Source organism: Homo sapiens, chromosome 22, assembly GCF_000001405.40.
Source record: "Homo sapiens chromosome 22, GRCh38.p14 Primary Assembly".
Lineage (NCBI taxonomy): Eukaryota > Metazoa > Chordata > Mammalia > Primates > Hominidae > Homo > Homo sapiens.
Genome location: NC_000022.11, coordinates 39,585,148 through 39,603,218, shown reverse-complemented (window position 1 = coordinate 39,603,218; position 18,071 = coordinate 39,585,148). Strand labels below are relative to the sequence as shown.

The following is an 18,071-nucleotide window of genomic DNA, read 5'->3' as shown; positions in this document are numbered from 1 at the left end:
GTCAAAGAAGAGATGGAAGAACTTTCTTCTGAGATGATGGAAAGCATGAATCTTTTTTTTTTTTTTTGACAGGGTCTTGCTTTGTTGAAGACTAGAGTGCAATGGCACGATCACTGCTCACTGCAGCCTCAACCTCCTGGGCTCAAGGAGCCCAGCCTCCAGCCTCAGCCTCCTGAGTAGCTGGGACTACAGGAGTGCACCACAAACACCTGGCTAATTTTTTATTTTTTGTAGAGATGGGGTCTCACTATGTTGCCCAGGCTGGTCTCAAACTCCTAGGCTCAAGGAATCCTCTTGCCTCGGCCTCCCACAATGCTGGGATTACAGGGGTGAGCCACTGCACCTGGCCAAAAGCACCAGTCTTGAGTTCTCTAAGGTCCCCCTTAGACCTGCCCTAGAGAAAGGTCTGATTGTGAAGGTAAAGAGAAAAGCCCACAAGCTTCTAGTCAGGAAAAAGAAGGTCATCTTCCGAGAAAGAGGAACCAGATCTGTACTGGACTCACCTGCAATACTATAGTGTAGGTTTGAATGGCAGGATGTGTGCAGTGTTCTGACTCTACAATAGCACAAATAACGGTCCACACTCAAAGATCAAAGGAATATATGTTTGGACAGGCAAGATTGAAAAATGACACTATCCAAACACCTTTTCTTTTAAAAAAAAACTACTTAAAGATGTTCTCCAGCCAAACCAGAATAAGAATGAAAACGAAGAACGTGACTAAGAGGAGGATACAGTGCTCAGGAAACCACAGGAAACCAGAGTAGCTTCCGTACAGGTCTCAGTGACTGTTGACAATGTGTTTGTAAAACTGAATACAGTGATTGAGAGAAGATGCTTAGAGGCCAGGTGCGGTGGCTCACACCTGTAATCCCAGCACTTTGGGAGGCTGAGGTGGGAGGAAAGCTTGAACCCAGGAGTTCAAGACCAGCCTGGGCAACATAGTGAGACCCTGTCTCTATAGAAAAGAAAAGAAAAATTAGCCAGGGTTGGTAGCACATGCCTGCAGTCCCAGCTACTCAGGAGGCTGAGGTGGGAGGATCCTTTGAGCCTAGGAAGTCAAGGCTGCAGTGTGTGGTGACTGCATCACCACACTCCAACCTAGGTACAGAGTGAGACCCCATCTCAAAAAAAGAAGGAAGGAAGGAAGGGAGGGAGGGAGGGAGGGCGAAAGAAAGAGAGAGAGAAGGAAGGAAGGAGGGAAGGAAGGAAGGAGGGAAGGAAGGAAGGAAGGAAGGGAGGGAGGGTGAAAGAAAGAGAGAGAGAAGGAAGGAAGGAAGGAAGGCAGGAAGGAAGGAAGGAGGGAGGGAGGGAGGGAGGGAGGGTGAAAGAAAGAGAGAGAAGGAAGGAAGGAAGGAAGGAGGGAGGGAGGGAGGGAGGGAAGGAAGGAAGGAGAGAAAGCGAGAGAGCAAGCAAGCTTAGAAGAGGTGTAACTTTTTTAAAACCCTAGTGAAACGAATCACCTCACTTCAGAACACATCTGTGGAATTTAGCAGATACCTGATGGGATTCTCACACCCTGACTGTCCGTCTCAGCCATGCGTCTACTGAATCAAAAAGGTCACACCTCCTCAATAGCATTCTACACACGAGGTCACACACATACACACATACACTGACACACACACTCACACACCCTCTCTCACACACACACGTACAGCCTCCAGCCTTTTTCTCTCTCCTCTGCCCTAATAATGACCCACTCTTGGGCATGGTTAATGTCTCCTCATCCTTCAGCTCTCCCGTGTCACCTCCTCAGGAAGCCCTCAAGCCCCCAAGTCCCCAGCTTGGCTCAGTCGGGCTGCTGTGTTAAATGCTCTCAGCAAACCACATGCTTTGCCCAGCGCCCTGGTCCCCGTGTGTGAAGGCACGCCCACTGGCGTAGCAGGTGGGTGCCTCCCCGAGACAGGAGTAGGAAGGACAAGGCCTGTGTCTGGCTTGCTCTCCTCCTTGCCCCCAGCAGCTAGGGCGGCGCCAACACTGGGGAGCAAGTTGTTCAGTCCCTGGTTGATGGATGAATGCATGGATGGGTTTGACCCAGGAAAGCAGGCACAAGACCCAGAGCAGGGTCACAGACGCTCCAGATGGGCTCAGCTGTAACCAGGCCTGTCCCTGACGGCAGCTTGTGTCTCGGTAGAAATAACCACAGTCTGGAGTCAGACAGTGCTTGAGTCTGTGCTCGGTCTCTGGCGTGATGAGAGATCCAGGATAGCAATCCTAACAGCTAGCATTTATTGGGTGCTCATTTTGACGCAGCTACTATTATTATTCCCCTTTTCAGATGAGGAAATGAAAGCTTAGAGAGCGTCAGTGGCTCTCTCAAGGTCGTATCATTAATTAGCATAAACTCACCCAGTATCCGCTGGCAGTGCTGGAGGACGCACAACTTAGGAAGGGAGGAAAGAATGTCTGTCTGTCCATCATTCCTCCCAGCCCAGGGGTCCAGGAGGGTCCCACGCATCACCGTGATTCCCCTTCATCGCCATCAGCAAGAAGCCCTGGATTCTCTCAATTATGCCTGGTGTGCACCAGAGGCTAGGACCTGCCTGGCGGGCGCTACCTACCCTGCCATGACGATGAAGAAATCCAGGCGGTTCCATGTGTCCCCGAGGTAGCACTTCTTGCCAAAAATCCCCAGGGCCACCATCTTGAGCACCATCTCCATGGCAAAGAAGATAAAGATGAAGTCATCAAAGACCTGCAGGGGCAGGAGGAGGGAAGCAAGGGACAGGGTGAGGTTGCAGAGCAGGGCCCAGGGGTTGCAGCCACAGTGTGAGGTGGGGACACCACATGGATGCAAGGGGCCTGGGAAACACCCGGAAACTCCTCCTGGGCAGGAGGAGAACCTCAGTGATCCCAGTCCAATGCAGTCATTTCATAGATGAGGAGACTGTGGCCCAGAGACGGGAATGAGTTTGCCCAAGGTCATACAGCCCGTTCTATCTGTTCCCTAAGCCTGGGAACAGATAGAAGAGCCCCAGGTGGGGGTGGGGTGAGGGGCCGTCCCATATTCTCCCTAATAATTACCAAGCACTGGCTACACACTTGACCCCCATTCTCTCTCCTAATTCTCCCAAGGACCCCATGGGTAGTCCCATTTTACAGATGAGGAAACAGAGACTCAGAGAGGTTAAGCAACTTGCCCCACAGGTCACACAGCAGATAAGTGGCAGAACCAGGATTGAAACTCCGGTGGGTCTCACCCCAAAGCCCCCATGGAAGCAGCTGTCTCAAAGTAGCCCCCAGGCACAGGCCTCAGTGTTGCCTTTCTCTGCCCACAAAGGAGGCTATGAGATTATGCTTCCTGAGGGCGGGGACTGGGTGGAATTCCTGTTTCCAGGATTAGTGAGGGCTGCAGCCAACTCAATTCAACAAACAGGTGCCACATACCTACTGTGTGCCAGGGCTAGGCCAGTGGTGAGGACACAGAGGTGCTTGTTCGGTGAACTCACCATGAGGCTAACCAGGCCTGGGGCCCGGGGCTGCTGAGGAGCTTGTTACCCACTCGGACCCCAGACCCACCCAGAAATTCTGCTTCAGCAGGTCTGAGATGGGGTCAGGGGTCTGGATTTTTTTTTTTTTTTTTTTTTTTTTTTTTTGAGACGGAGTCTCGCTCTGTCGCCCAGGCTGGAGTGCAGTGGCGGGATCTCGGCTCACTGCAAGCTCCGCCTCCCGGGTTCACGCCATTCTCCTGCCTCAGCCTCCCAAGTAGCTGGGACTACAGGCGCCCGCCACTACGCCCGGCTAATTTTTTGTATTTTTAGTAGAGACGGGGTTTCACCATTTTAGCCGGGATGGTCTCGATCTCCTGACCTCGTGATCCGCCCGCCTCGGCCTCCCAAAGTGCTGGGATTACAGGCATGAGCCACCGCGCCCGGCCAGGGGTCTGGATTTTTACCAAGTGCCCGGGGAGACTCTGGCCCAGTGCTGCCTGGGAGCTACTGAGTCCTATAGAAACCCAAGAGGCAGAGGCTGGGCACAGTGGCTCACGCCTGTAATCCCAGCACTTTGGGAGGCCGAGGCAGGCAGATCACGAGGTCAGGAGATTGAGACCATCCTGGCTAACATGGTGAAACCCCGTCTCTACTAAAAATACAAAAAATTAGCCAGGCGTGGTGGCGGGCGCCTGTAGTCCCAGCTGCTCAGGAGGCTGAGGTGGGAGAATGGCATGAACCCGGGAGGTGGAGCTTGCAGTGAACCGAGATCGCGCCACTGCACTCCAGCCTGGGGCGACACAGTGAGACTCTGTCTCAAAAAAAAAAAAAAAAAAAAAAAACCCAAGAGGCAGAAAGCAATGCCTCCCGGGAGGAATCTGGCTTTCCCAGGGAGTTGCACCGAGTGTTTCCACATCTGTAAAATGGGTACAACCCTAACATCTGTGCTACCCGTATACATGCTCTGCACAGGGTTATGTCAGGTACCAAAGGTCAAGCCCCACCCCAGGACCTCAGGAGATAACAGAATGTAAAACCAGAGGCCCGCTCCTAAAGGGCATCTAGGGCAGGGTGTGAACTTGGCCTCTAGTCCAAGAGCACGGGGGACGAAGTGCAGGTTGTAGGCAGAGGAGAGTCGGGGTCACTGTTCTTTGCAGGTGTGCATGTGGCGGGTGCAGGAGAAGGCTGGTGGGGGCACCCGGGTAGGAGAAGATTGAGGCCTGGACTAAGGTAGAGGCTTCAAGGTGGAGAGGAGAGATAAAGGGAAGAGAGGATCCGAAGGGTAATAGGTAAGACCAGGTGGGAGTGAGGAAGGGTCAGCCAAGTGAGTGCGGCTGGTGGTGGCTGAGTGCGGCAGCGCTTGGTAGTGCAGCGCAGGATGGGGAAGGGCACGGAGCGGGGCGGGGCATGGAGTGGGCGGGGCAAGGCCAGGACATGGGGCGGGGGTGTGGAGTGGGCGGGGCATAGGCCGGGTCCTGGAGGATGAGGGCAGGGCGGGGCGGGGCGGGGCGGCCGGCTCACCTGCAGGATCTTGCAGCGGTCGGACAGGCAGTCCATGTCGTCGCACGGCTGGTACATGCCAAGTGTCACGCAGTTCAGCAGGATCACCAGCATGCTGACACATTCAAACCACGTGCACACCAAGTCAAGGACAAAGCAGCAGGTGGGATCGCCCGTGGGGGCTGGGGTGCACCCTAGAGTGTAATACCCGCAACCCACCACACACACAGGCATACACCCCATTCCTCATTCTTCTCCCTCTGGGTGCCATCCCTGAAACAGCTCAAAGCCCGTGGTGCCAGTCTGCCCCCATCACAACAGACATGGCCATATGCGCCAAACCCACCAGGCCCCCAGCTGCAGGACCCCACTCCTTGCCCCAGCCTGAGAGCTCCCCTCAGGCCCAGGGAAGGGAGAGGTTCCCGGAAGCCTGGCTGTCAGGGAACTCTGGGCTGTCCCAGCCTCTCCACCCCAACTACCACCCTCTGACTGTCACTGCCTCCCTTCTCTGACCACCTTTCCCTCCCCTGACCCATGTTCCCTCCGTCTCTGCCAAGGTCTGGGTCTGGAGCCCGCAGAGGGCCCTCCAGTGGGGCTGAGATTGGCTGGATGGCCCCGTCCTTCTCTCCTTGCCCACTGCCAGGGTTAGGGCTCAGGTAGGGCTCATCACCTAACTCCAAAACACCCGCACCAAGCCCAGCCCTGGCCTGCACCACATGGGGTGGGGCTGGGCCCCTCAGTCCTGGACAGGCAGAAAGTCTCCTGCTGCGGAGGGAATCCAGAGCTGGCCATGAACCTGGCCTTGGGCAGGGCCTCTGGGCACAGCTTGCAGCTGGGGTGAATGGGCTCCCCTCCTGCACCTGGCCAGGCTGCTCTCCTCACCACTGCTGAGAGCCCCTCCATGAATGCCCTCCTCCCTCCCTCCCAGGCCAACTCCTACCCATCCTTAGAACACAGCCCGCAGTGTCCAGTCCCGCCACTGTCTATCCTCCCAGTCACAGGACCAGGGAGGTCAGGCCTCAAGGAGCTCAGGGCTGTGTCACTTCCAGCCCCCGCCTGTCATACCAGTAAGAAATCCGAAGCCTGCTCAGATCTCCCCAACGGGATCTCCAGTTGACTGAGTCCTGGGGCCTTCGAAAATCTGTGCCTACTTGAAAAGAGGCAGTCCAGGATGAAATGGACTTGAGCCACACATAGTATGATGAAGTCAGACACCCAGGTGAACTTCCAGACCATGCAGCCTGACTGAACTTAACAGGCAATGACTGGAGTCGGGAGTAGGTTCTCCTTCTGTAAGAGGAGAGATGCTGATGGAACTCACCACACCCCACCTATGCAACCCCCTTTCCTCCCCCAGAAACTGAGTGTCAGGAGACAGAAAGGGGCTCTCATGCAGTAAAAGCAGCAAACAAGACCACGAAGCCAGGAGACCTGCATTTGAACTCGTCCCAGCACTGACTGGCTCTGCGGTCTTCGGCAAGCCCCTCCTTGTCTCTGAACCTAGAGGTCCTCCACCGGATGACCAGGAGCCTCCCCATCGGCCCCCTGGGTCTGCCCTGGCCCCTCCAAACCACCCTTCCTGCAGCAGCAGTGGGCAGTTAAAAACATCAGCAAGACCACCTCCCTCCCCAGCACAAAACCCTGCCCCTGCTCCTGGGCTCTCTCAGCACAAACTTTGAAGCCCTTGCCTGGCCTGCAGGGCCCCACTCTGACACCCCATCTCCCTGGGCCCTAATACCCCATCTCCCTCTGCCCTGCCCCCCCATCTCTCTCCACCCTGCCCCCCATCTCTCTCCATCCTGCTCCCCCATCTCTCTCCGCCCTGCCCCCCGATCTCCCTCCGCCCTGCCCCCCCATCTCCCTCCGCCCTGCCCCCCCATCTCTCTCCGCCCTGCTCCCCCATCTCTCTCCGCCCTGCTCCCCCATCTCTCTCCGCCCTGCTCCCCCATCTCCCTCCGCCCTGCCCCCCATCTCCCTCCGTCCTGCTCCCCCATCTCCCTCCGCCCTGCCCATCTCCCTCCGCCCTGCCCCCCATCTCCCTCCACCCTGCTCCCCCATCTCTCTCCGCCATCTCTCTCCGCCCTGCCCCCCCATCTCCCTCCGCCCTGCCCCCCCATCTCTCTCCACCCTGCTCCCCCATCTCTCTCCGCCCTGCCCTGGCTCACTCTGCTCTGACCTCACTGGCTCCTGCCGCTCCTCAGACACACAGTGAGTGACATCAGGACACTCCACCTCAGGGCCTTTGCATGTGCTGTTCCCACTTCAAGGGCTGAGCTTCTAGCATCATGTTCACCTCCTCTGAGAAGTCTCCACCCAACCTCATCACCCCCAGCTGCCGCACGCCCTCTTCACGCCCTGCCACTGTCTTGCTGACATGCTCATTGTCTCTGCCACTGCTCTAATCTACATTCCAAAGGGGACAGGGACTTTACACTCACGGCCTAACATCTAGTAGGTGTTCAATGAACATCTGTCGGATGAATAAATACAGTTGTCCCTCATTATCTGCCGTGTCAGTTACCCATGGTCCACTGTGGCCCAAAATTAGGTATGAGTGCGGTACAATAAGAGATTCTGAGAGAGAGAAAGAGGGAGACCGCATGACCACATTCATATAACTTTGATTATCGTACGTGATTCTAATTTTTTTTTTTTTTTGAGATGGAGTTTCACTTTTATTGCCCAGGCTGGAGTGCAATGGCAAGATCCCAGCTCACTGCAACCTCTGCCTCCTGGGTTCAAGTGTTTCTCCTGCCTCAGCCTCCCAAGTAGCTGGGATTACAGGCGCCTGCCACTATGCCCGGCTAATTTTTTGTATTTTTAGTAGAGACGGGTTTTCACCGTGTTGGCCAGGCTGGTCTTGAACTCCTGACCTCAGGTGATCCACCCGCCTCGGCCTCCCAAAGTGCTGGGATTACAGGCATGAGCCATTGTGCCTGGCCTAATTGTTTTATTTTATTTTATTTTTTATTTTTGTTTATTTATTTATTTATTTTGAGACGGAGTCTTGCTCTGTCGCCAGGCTGAAGTGCAGTGGCGTGATCTCGGCTCACTGCAACCTCCGTCTCCCAGGTTCAGGCAATTCCCTTGCCTCAACCTCCTGAGCAGCTGGGACTACAGGCGCCCGCCACCACGCCCGGCTAATTTTTTTGTATTTTAGTAGAGATAGGGTTTCACCATGTTGGCCAAGATGGTCTCGATCTCCTGACTTTGTGATCCGCCTGCCTCGGCCTCCCAAAGTGCTGGGATTATAGGCATGAGCCACCGCGCCTGGCGTGATTGTTCTATTTTATTATTGGTTGCTACTCATCTCTTACAATGCCTGATTTATAAATTAAACTTTATCCAGGTATGCAGGTATAGGAAAAAAACATAGTAAATATAGGGTTCAGTGCTATTTGTGGCTTCAGGCATCCACTGGGGGTCTTGGAATGTGTCCCTTGTGGGTAAGGGGGGGTGCTACTGTAAATCTCTAGGGGCCCTGCCCACTCCAACATCCGGGGACTCAGGAGTGTCTCCAAGCAAACCCCTCACCCCTCCATTTCAAAGCCCTTGCCCTTAGCTGGGATGTAGCCACACCAGCCAAACCCTCAGCAGGACCCCACCCAGAGAGGAGTGGGAGAGGTGACCTGGTTTCCATGGCAACAGCCTCCCTCCCATCCCCAGCCCTGCCCACTTTGGGATGCTGCCTACTCGTGGCCTCTTCTCAGCTCCTCCTGGCCCCAGCCCTGCTCCTTCCCGTCCCCTCACCCCACTGCCACTCTCCCGCCATAGCCTGTAATTAATTTCAGTCGCTGCCAGGGCCCCCTTCGAGCCTGAGCCTGGCTCCAGCAGCAGCTTCATCATTAATTAACTTTTTTGAAGTTCGAACATTCTAATTACCAAAGAACATCCCCCATCCCCCTCGCCTTTCCCCTCTTCCTGTCGTGCGCTCTCTCCTTCCAGCCCCATCCTCTGCTCCCTCTGCCCCTCCTGCCAGTTTCAGGCTCAAAGTGCACTTAGTGGCGTCTCCCAGGAGCCCGGTGCCCCTGCTGCCTCCTCAACAAGGCCCTGAGCAGTGGAGGTCAGCAGGCCCATTTTACAGATAAGGAAGGCTGAGACATGGGGAAATCAGGGGCCTCTCCTGGGTTTCACAGCTAGGAATTACTGGCACAGAGATTCACACCAGGCCTGCTGGACTCCAAGGCCAGCGCTCTCCTCTGTGAAGTACGGCCTGTCTCTGCCCATGGCTCTCCTCCCTCCCCTGAGGCCTCTCAGCCCATCTTCAGTGTGTCTCCCCAGGACCCTGACCCAGCATCCTCGGTATCCCCCAGCTCTGGTCTCTGCCCCTCCAATCTGCCCCACACGATAACCAGGCACTTGCTGTGTGCCCAACACAACTTGAACATTTTCCAAATGTTATCTCATTTAATCCTCACAGCTCTTTTATAAGCCCCATTTACAAATAAGGAAACCAAGACACAAAAGGGAAACAGATTGGCCCAAGGTCACCAGCTGGAAAAGAGCAGAGCTGAGACACAAAACCTCAGGCTGGAGGCTTTTCCTGCCTCCAAGCTGTTTTGCCACTGCCAGGCTAATCTGCCTGAAACACACTCTCCAGATGCCTCTCTCCTGCTCAAGAACCTCCCATGGCTCCCCATCACCCTCCCAAGCCTGGTACGCAAGGTAGACTCTCGCCTCAGTGAATCCTTGCAGTCTTATCACTCACTGGCCTCAGCACTCGCTTTCTCCAAACACGCCTTCTGCCTACACTTTCCCTTTCCTCCACCTCTCCAGCAGGCAGACTGTTTCAGAGCCCAGTTCGCAGGTCACCTCTTCTTGAAGCTTCCCCGGATGTGCCTCTTGCCCCTCACAAGGTGGTGGCTCAGCCTCCTCTCCAGAAGCACTCCCACCTGCCCTGGCTAGCACGTACCACAGTGATGAATTTGGCAGTACCTCTGACGACTGTGTACCAGACACCCTAGGGACATGACCTCAGCTCTCACAATCCCCTGGGGATGGAAAAGGAACAAGCCTGGAGAGCTGACACCACTCACACAAGGTCACCCAGTCCCCGAGCAGCCCAGATTGTCTGATTCACAGCAGTGCTGGTGGCCGCTGCACAGCACTGCCTCTGTGGCCCATCTAACTCGCCCACTGCACTGGGTCCCCGCAGGAGGCAGATGGAGTGGCTTTCATCCCTGGGCTGCTCAGCTTCAGAAATTCAGCAATGGATGGTCTCAGCCCTTGCCCAGAGGTGCCCGGGGAAATCCCAGATGGCAAAGCTTGGGCCCCTTCCAAGAGCCCAGGAGGCTTAGAAGTCAGGCCAGAACTGGCATCACTGCCCGCGGTTCCTGACACACTCCCCACTGGCTCAGGGATCAAAAGCACCAGCCCTCCTTGAAGTTAAACCAGACAGTGCAGTGTGGGGTAGGAGGGTGGCGGGGGGAGTCAAGGTCTCCGGCTTGAGCCACTCTGCAGCCTGGCCTGACGCCTCATGCTTCCACCATGAGTCACAAGTGTTGAGGAACTCTCTGAGAACACAGGCAAGCGAAGCCGTGAGGTTCGGGGACAACCTGAGGGAAGCTGGAGACCCAAGGGGGAGCACAGGATTTCTGGGTGACAGAGGGGGCAGGGCTGGAGTGCTAGTGCCACGACGGCAGGACGTCTTCAATGGCTCCCAACTGCCTCTCACAGCGAGGCTTGAAGCCCTGCGACGGGCATCCAAGGCCCAGCTGCCTCGCCTACTTCACCCCTCAGGCCCTCACTGCAGTCGGGGTGACCTTTGCCACAGAGCAGCCCTGCCAGCGTCGTTAGAGAGCAACGGCTCCAATCCCTCATTGCACTGATGGAAAACAGGGGCAGAAATCTGTCCCAGCTCCACAGCAAGCCCAGAGCTGAAGTGACACTTAGACAACAGACTCACCACCCACGGGGGTCCCCAAGCCACAGTCGATTTTTCAAACTCACACGGAAACCCTCCGCGTTTCCCCACACACTCGGCACAGCCACAGTACCATCACTTTAAGCTGGTTAGATCCCTGACGGGCAGCCCTGAGCGCCTTTGAGGAACACAGATGGAGAAACAGATCAATGGTGATGCAATCAATCGAGTTTCCTTGGCAGGCAAAGCCGTCCCAAGCACACAGGCCTCGGGGAGAAAATCACTCAGGGTCTTTGGGTGCTGCTGCAGAGCCCCCCAGCGCCTCAGCACAGCCTGGGCCCTCAGCCCCACTTCCTACCCACGTCCCCGCACCACACCTCTCAAAGTCTTCAGAACTGGGGTCTCAGAGCTGAGCAGGGGGAATGAATGTGCTTATATTGTGTGCCTGTTGTGTGCCAGGCGCCAGCCTGCCGGTGGTAATAATGGTGACAATCGCGAACACTTCTTCAGTGCCCCTGAGTGTCTGTTTGCCAAGGAGCCTCCAAATCAAACAGCATGCATGGCCAAGCGCGGTGGCTTATGCCTGTGATCCCAGCACTTTGGGGGGCCAAGGCGGGCAGATCACCTGAGGTCAGGAGTTCAAGACCAGCCCGGCCAACACAGTGAAACCCTGTCTCTACTAAAAATACAAAAAATTAGCTGGGCATGGTGGCAGGCGCCTGTAATCCCAGCTACTTGGGAGGTTGAGGTGGAAGAATCGCTTGAACCCGGGAGGTGGAGGTTTCAGTGAGCTGAGATTGCACCACTGCACTCCAGCGTGGGTGACAGAGTGAAACTCCATCTCAAAAACAAAAAAAAAGAAAAGAAAAGAAGAGATGCTAGTACAGCCCCTGTGATAGATATCTGTCCTGCAGCATACTGAATCTTCGCCCACAGCCTTTTGTAAAGAATCCAGGCCAGGCCGGGTGCCGTGGCTCACATCTGTAATCCCAGCACTTTGGGAGGCCGGGGTGAGCAGATCACTTGAGGTCAGGAGTTCAAGACCAGCCTGGCCAACATGGTGAAACCCCGTCTCTACTAAAAATACAAAAATTAACTGGGCGTGGTGGCGGGCATCTGTAATCCCAGCTACTCAGGAGGCTGAGGCAGGAGGATCGCTTGAACCCGGGAGGTGAGGAGGTTGCAGTGAGCTGAGATCGCGCCATTGCACTCCAGCCTGGGCAACGAGAGTGAAACTCCGTCTCAGAAAAAAAAAAAAAAAAGAATCCAGGCCAGATGCAGTGGCTCACATCTGTAATCCCAGCACTTTGGGAGGGCAAGGCAGGAGGATCACTTGACCCAGGAGTTTGAGACCAGCCTGGGCAACATAGTGAGACCTCATATCTGCAAAAAAAAAAAAAAATTTTTTAATTAGCCAGCTGTGGTGGTGCGCGCCTGTAGTCTGCTACTTAGAAGGTTGAGATGGGAGGATCACTTAAGCCCAGGAGCTGAAGGTCGCTGTGAGCCAAGATCAAGCCACTTCACTCCAGCCTGAGCGACAGAGCGAGATCCTATCTCAAAAAATAAAAATCAAAAAGAATCTGTCAACCAATTCAGGCCTAGCAATGAGCAGGGTCACCCTGCAACATCAGCAGAGTTCTCCCAAACTGGCTGATACTACCGTTATCCCCACTTCACAGGAAAGGAAACTAAGGCCACAGGAGGTGGTTCCAGGGTCACTCCCATGGTATGTGGCAGGGGCAGGATCTGCACTGCCTCTCACTGGCTGCAAATCCCATGTTCTCATCCACACATCCTGCCATCACCTGGTTCAGTGTCTGCGATGTGAGGGACCCCCAACTGAGATGGGTTTAATGGAATATTTGCTCTTTCCTCCCCACCCACATCGTCTCTCTCTGAGGCTCCCAGCCAGGCAGAGGGAAGCGGAGGCTGGGTCAGTGGTGAGCCCAGCCGGCAGCCCGTCTGGCTGTGTCCCTGCTGGGGACCCAGGCCTGTGTTGTATGCAGTGGGGTCAGGAAGAGAGATGCTCCAGCCCCTGCTGTGGTTCAGAAGGAAAGCTCTACCTGCAGGAAGAAGGGGAGGGGAAGCCAGCAAGGGCATGTTTGCCTCAAGGTCCCCCAGCCAGGAGGATCAAAACCCAGCTAAGCCAGATCATAACCACACCACACCCTAGCCACCAAGGCCTGAGAAGGTCAGGATGTGGACTAAGGGGACAGGGTCACCAGGGAAGCCACTATGCTGGGGCTCCCTCAAACCTGCCAGTTCCCAGCTAGAAGAGCAACCGTGTGGAGGGGCAGTGCCCGGCGCCCGGGCAGGCCCTGCAGGGCAGCCTCCTCTCCAGGAGCCGAGCCAGAGGCCTGCATGGTTACCATGGCGACCACCACCCTCCTTCTGCAGGCCCAGGCGACACTCAGTTTCTGTGATTCGGGGGGCTCTGGGAGGCTGGTGGGGGCGGGAGTGCTGGGTTTGGCGGGGGTGGCCAAGTTTGTTTTTATTTTTGTCAAATCTAAAATCTGATCCACTTCCCAGGGTGCGTTTCAGTTGTCTAAATAAATCAGGTGGAGAAAAGGGGCTGGGGGCTCCATCCTCCTGGATCGGGGAGGTAGGGAAGGTGGACCAGCACCTACACCGAGTGTCCCTCCCCTGCTGGTCCCCAGTGAACCCAAAGGAGGGGGAGCTCAGGCCTCAGGCCCTCCAGGCCTGAGGTTCCAGATCCCAGTTCTTGGGCCAGCTCCATGCTCCTCTGAGGCCAGGCCTACAAGCATCCAAGGACCACCTGCTGTATACGTGGCCTGTGCCTCAGGGTGCTGAGATGAACCAGGCTCAGCTCCTTCCTGGAAGGTGCCCGTGTGCATCCCTGTTCCAGGACCACCCGTGATGTGTGACGGTGTAGCATGTGTTCGAGCAACAGTGGCCACCAATTTGAACATCAGCTGTTTCAGAGCCTGGGGTTTTGGGAGGACACTCATTCACACATTCATTCGTTCATTCGTTTATTCAATGAATAATAAACAGGCAGCAACCACTCTGGAAGGCTGCTCAGCAGCTTCTACTAAAACCAAACATATGCCCACGCTAGGACCCAGCGGGGCCACTCCTGGGTGCATACCCAGGAGAAATGCTCACACACCCCACAAAAAGCCACGTCCCAGAACAGGCACGTCTGTGTTATCGGTAACAGCCCCAACCTGGGACAACCTAGGTGTTCATCAACAGAAGAATGGGGTAGGGTGGTGGTTTTCAACCAGGGATGATTTTGTCCCCCAAGGGACATTTGGCCGTGTCTGGAGACATTTTTGGTTGTCACACTTGAGGGGATAGGACACCGGCATCTAGTGGGTAGAGACCAGGAATGCAGCTAAAACACCCTACAACGTACAGGACAGCCCCACAACAAAGAATCATCCAGCTCAAAATGTCACCAGTGCCATGCATGAGAAGCCCGCATGGAGTACTACTTAGCCATGAAAAGGACAGGCAACTGAAACACACAACAGCATGGAGGGATCTCTGCTGGGAAACAGAAGCCAGACGCAGCAGAGCAAACAACGCGTAACTCCAATTACATGAAGTTAAGAGCCAGGAGAAGCCAATCTACAGTGAAGAAGGTCAGAAGAGCAGTAACGTTGGGGAGTACCCAAGGCAGGTGGGGGACAGGGAAGCTTCCAGGACTGGAGATGTTCTTCTTGACCTGAGTGGTGGCCCCAGGAGAGGACTTATATGAAAATGCCTTGAAGGCCGGGCGCAGTGGCTCACGCCTGTAATCCCAGCACTTTGGGAGGCTGAGGCAGGCGGATCACGAGGTCAGGAGATCGAGACCATCTTGGCTAACGCGGTGAAACCCCATCTCTACTAAAAATACAAAAAATAAGCCGGGCGTGGTGGTGGGCGCCTGTAGTCCCAGCTACTCGGGAGGCTGAGGCAGGAGAATGGCGTGAACTCAGAAGGTGGAGCTTGCAGTGAGCCGAGATCACGCCACTGCACTCCAGCCTGGGCGACAGAGTGAGACTCTGCCTCAAAAAAAAAAAAAAAAAAGAAAGAAAGAAAGAAAGAAAACGCCTTGAACTGCACATTAGGATTTGTGAGCTCAACTTGTACATTTAACCTCAATAAAAAATGGAACAGCTGAGTTTGCCGGCATGTACCTGTGGTCCCAGTTACTTAGAAGGCTGAGGCAGGAGGATCACTTAAGCCCAGAAGTTCAAGGCTGCAGTGAGTTATGACGGTGCCACTGCACTCCAGCCTGGGTGACAGAGCAAGACTTTGTCTCAAAAAAAAAAAAAAAAAAAAAATGAAGAGCAACTGCTTTAAGGAAAAACAAAAATGCAACTATTAAAAATCCACAATCAGCCAGCACAGTGTCTTACCTGTAATCCCAGCACTTTGGGAGGCCAAGGCAGGCAGATCACATGAGGCCAGGAATTCAAGACCAGCCTGGCCAATATGGTGAAACCCTGTCTCTACTAAAAATAGAAAAATTATCCAGGCATGGTGGCACATGCCTGTAGTCCCAGCTACTCCAGAAGCTGAGGCAGGAGAACTGCTTGAACCCAGGAGGCAGAGGTTGCAGTGAGCCGAGATCACACCATTGCACTCCAGCCTGGGTGACAGAGCAAGACTCTGTCTCAAAAAATAATAATAATTATAAATCAAATAAAATAAAATAAACCACAGGCACCTGCTAGGGCACCTGCTATTGCCAAACCCCACAGGAACCTTTACAACAACCTGCAGGAATGGGCATCATCTCTGTTCCTTAGCCTTGCCCAAGGACACAGTCAGTGAGGGACAGAGCCAGGATTTGAACCTCATACCCTCCTGTCTTCTAATTCTCCTTTAAACCTCATTCCACCTGTGGCCACAGCTGCCTCGGGAGACAGGCATGGCAGACATTATTACACCCCACTTTATGGCCATGAAAATGAAGGCCCAGAGAAGACAGCACTTGCCCGAGATGACACAGTGATTGAGCTGAGACAGAAAGCTGCTCCATAAAATGAAGAGACCTGCCAGGCAGATGGTCCCAGGCCTCCCTCCGCTTACATGCCTCCAGCGACAAGGAACTCCCCACATGACAAATGGCATGATTGGTTCTGCTTATAAGCTATGCCATCTCAGTGCATTGAGATCCTTTTCAGGAGGGGGCAAGGGAGTGAGCCCTTCCTTGTTCCTACGCCAGCCCCACTTCTTGGAATCCCCGTTGTATAAGAACTCATTGTATTTGGCCAAAGTCTCTGATTCCCAAATACCTAGCAAGCTTCAGTACCCAGTGCAGACAGCAGAGTAGGGGAGGCAATGGCAGGAAACAGAGGCTGCCAGCTGGGATGAGAAGCCAAGGTGGAAGGTCCACAGGAAGGATGCTCCAGCCGAAGAGATTTGCCAGACACAGCTGCTTCCATCACAGCTGAAGAGAAGGGCCAGGCAGGTCCCTGGGGGCCAGGGTCCCACTGTCTGTGGGCTGATCCAGCCTCGGGAGCCCAACCACACAGAAAGTATGCAGGCAGGAAGGCTTCCTTGACTCCTGGGCAGGGGCTGCAGATGCCTCCTCTGGGACCTCACCGTGCCTCTGATGCCTCCCTTCTCCCAAGCAGCCATTGAACTGAGAGGGTGAGGGCTCGACCAGTGTGGATTACATTCTTCTCCAGCCTCCCTGGGGACCTGTCCTCTGCCGCGTGTCTCCCCTGCCTGCCCCTGAACACACGTCTGTGTTCATGTGTGCATTCCCAAGGAGAGCTGCTGCCTCTCATGCACCTGCACCCCTTATACACGTGTGCACACAGATGCAGCAGGCATTCTCACTCGCATGTGCCAGCAGCACTGGGCATGACTGACTCCTCTTCTAGAACAGGGGTTCTTAACCTTTTCTGTGCCACAAGCCCCTTTTCAGAATAAAGTTTTTATTTATTTATTTATTTATTTATTTATTTTAGAGACGGAGTCTAATTCTGTCACCCAGGCTGGATTGCAGTAGCACTATCTTGGCTCACTGCAACCTCCACCTCCCAGGTTCAAGTGATTCTCCTGCCTCCACTTCCCAAGTGTCTGGGACTACAGGCATGTGCCACCATGTCCAGCTAATTTTTGTATTTTTAGTAGAGAAGGGGTTTCATTATATGTTGGCCAGGCTGGTCTGGAACTCCTGACCTCAAGTGATTCACCCACCTTGGCCTCCCCAAGTGCTGGAATTACAAGCATAAGCCACAACACCCAGCCAGAATAAAGTTTTTAAATGCTATTTTTTTTTGAGATGGAGTCTTGCTCTGTCGCCAGACTAGAGTACAATGGCACGATCTCGGCTCACTGCAACTTCTGACTCCCTGGTTCAAGCGATTCTCCTGCCTCAGCCCCCTGAGTAGCTGGGATTACAGGCACATGCCACCATGCCTGGCTAATTTTTGTATTTTTAGTAGAGACGGGGTTTCACCATGTTGGCCAGGAGAGTCTCAATCTCCTGACCTCGTGATCCACCCACCTCGGCCTCCAAAGTGCTGGGATTACAGGCGTGAGCCACCGCGCCAGGTCAAATGCATTTTTTTAAATATTGAAGTGTAGGATTAGTAAACCAGGTGCAGTGGTGCACTATAGCCCCAGCTACTGGGGAGGCTGAGGCTGGTGGATCACTTGAGCCCAGAAGTTCAAAGCCAGCCTGGGCAGCATAGTGAGACCGCATTGCAAAAAAAAAAAAAAAAAAAACTTTAAAAGTTTTTTTTTTTTTTTTTTTAAGTTTACAGCTGGGCATGGTAGCTCACGCCTATAATCTCACCCAGCACTTTGGGAGGCCGAGGTGGGCAGATCACTCGAGGCTAGCAGTTCAAGACCAGCCTGGTCAACGTGGTGAAACTCCATCTCTACTAAATACAAAATTTATCTGGGCGTGGTGGCTCAGACCTGTAATCCCAGCTACTTGGAAGGCTGAGGCAGGAGAATCGCTTAAAATCGGGAGGAAGAGGCTGCAGTGAGCCAAGATCGCGCCACTGCACTCCAGCCTGGGTGACAGAGGGAGACTCAGTCTCAAAAAAAAAAAAAAAAAAAAAGAAAGAAAGAAAGAAAGAAAAAAAGCCCGGGCCCAGTGGCTCACACTTGTAATCCCAGCACTTTGGGAGGCCAAGGCGGGTGGATCACCTGAGGTCAGGAGTTCAAGACCAGCCTGACCAACATGGTGAAACCCTGTCTCTACTAAAATGCAAAAAAAAATTATCCGGGCACAGTGGCACATGCCTGTAATCCCAGCTACTTGTGAGGCTGAGGCAGGAGAATCGCTTGAACCCAGGAG

The 18,071-nt window shown here is 54.3% G+C and overlaps 1 protein-coding gene across 2 annotated transcripts in view, besides 1 other annotated feature; it reads right to left on the bottom strand.

The window, feature by feature from the left end:
• The window catches only part of CACNA1I (calcium voltage-gated channel subunit alpha1 I), a 118,983-nt gene that overhangs the window by 86,517 nt on the left and 14,395 nt on the right, over positions 1 to 18,071 (bottom strand). For both annotated transcript variants that reach the window (NM_021096.4, NM_001003406.2), the window contains exons 2-3: positions 4,957 to 5,068; positions 2,566 to 2,699 (exon numbers count right to left, since the gene is read on the bottom strand). In NM_021096.4, the coding sequence (NP_066919.2) occupies positions 2,566 to 2,699; positions 4,957 to 5,068 (246 nt within the window). The remainder of the gene's footprint in view (positions 1 to 2,565; positions 2,700 to 4,956; positions 5,069 to 18,071) is intronic.
• Positions 10,502 to 11,411: an enhancer, noted in NCBI's record as "H3K4me1 hESC enhancer chr22:39987813-39988722 (GRCh37/hg19 assembly coordinates)". NCBI's record gives its function as "activates a minimal SCP1, AML or CMV promoter by ChIP-STARR-seq in naive H9 embryonic stem cells {active_cell/tissue: H9 hESC(naive)}" and the evidence as "EXISTENCE:reporter gene assay evidence [ECO:0000049][PMID:30033119]".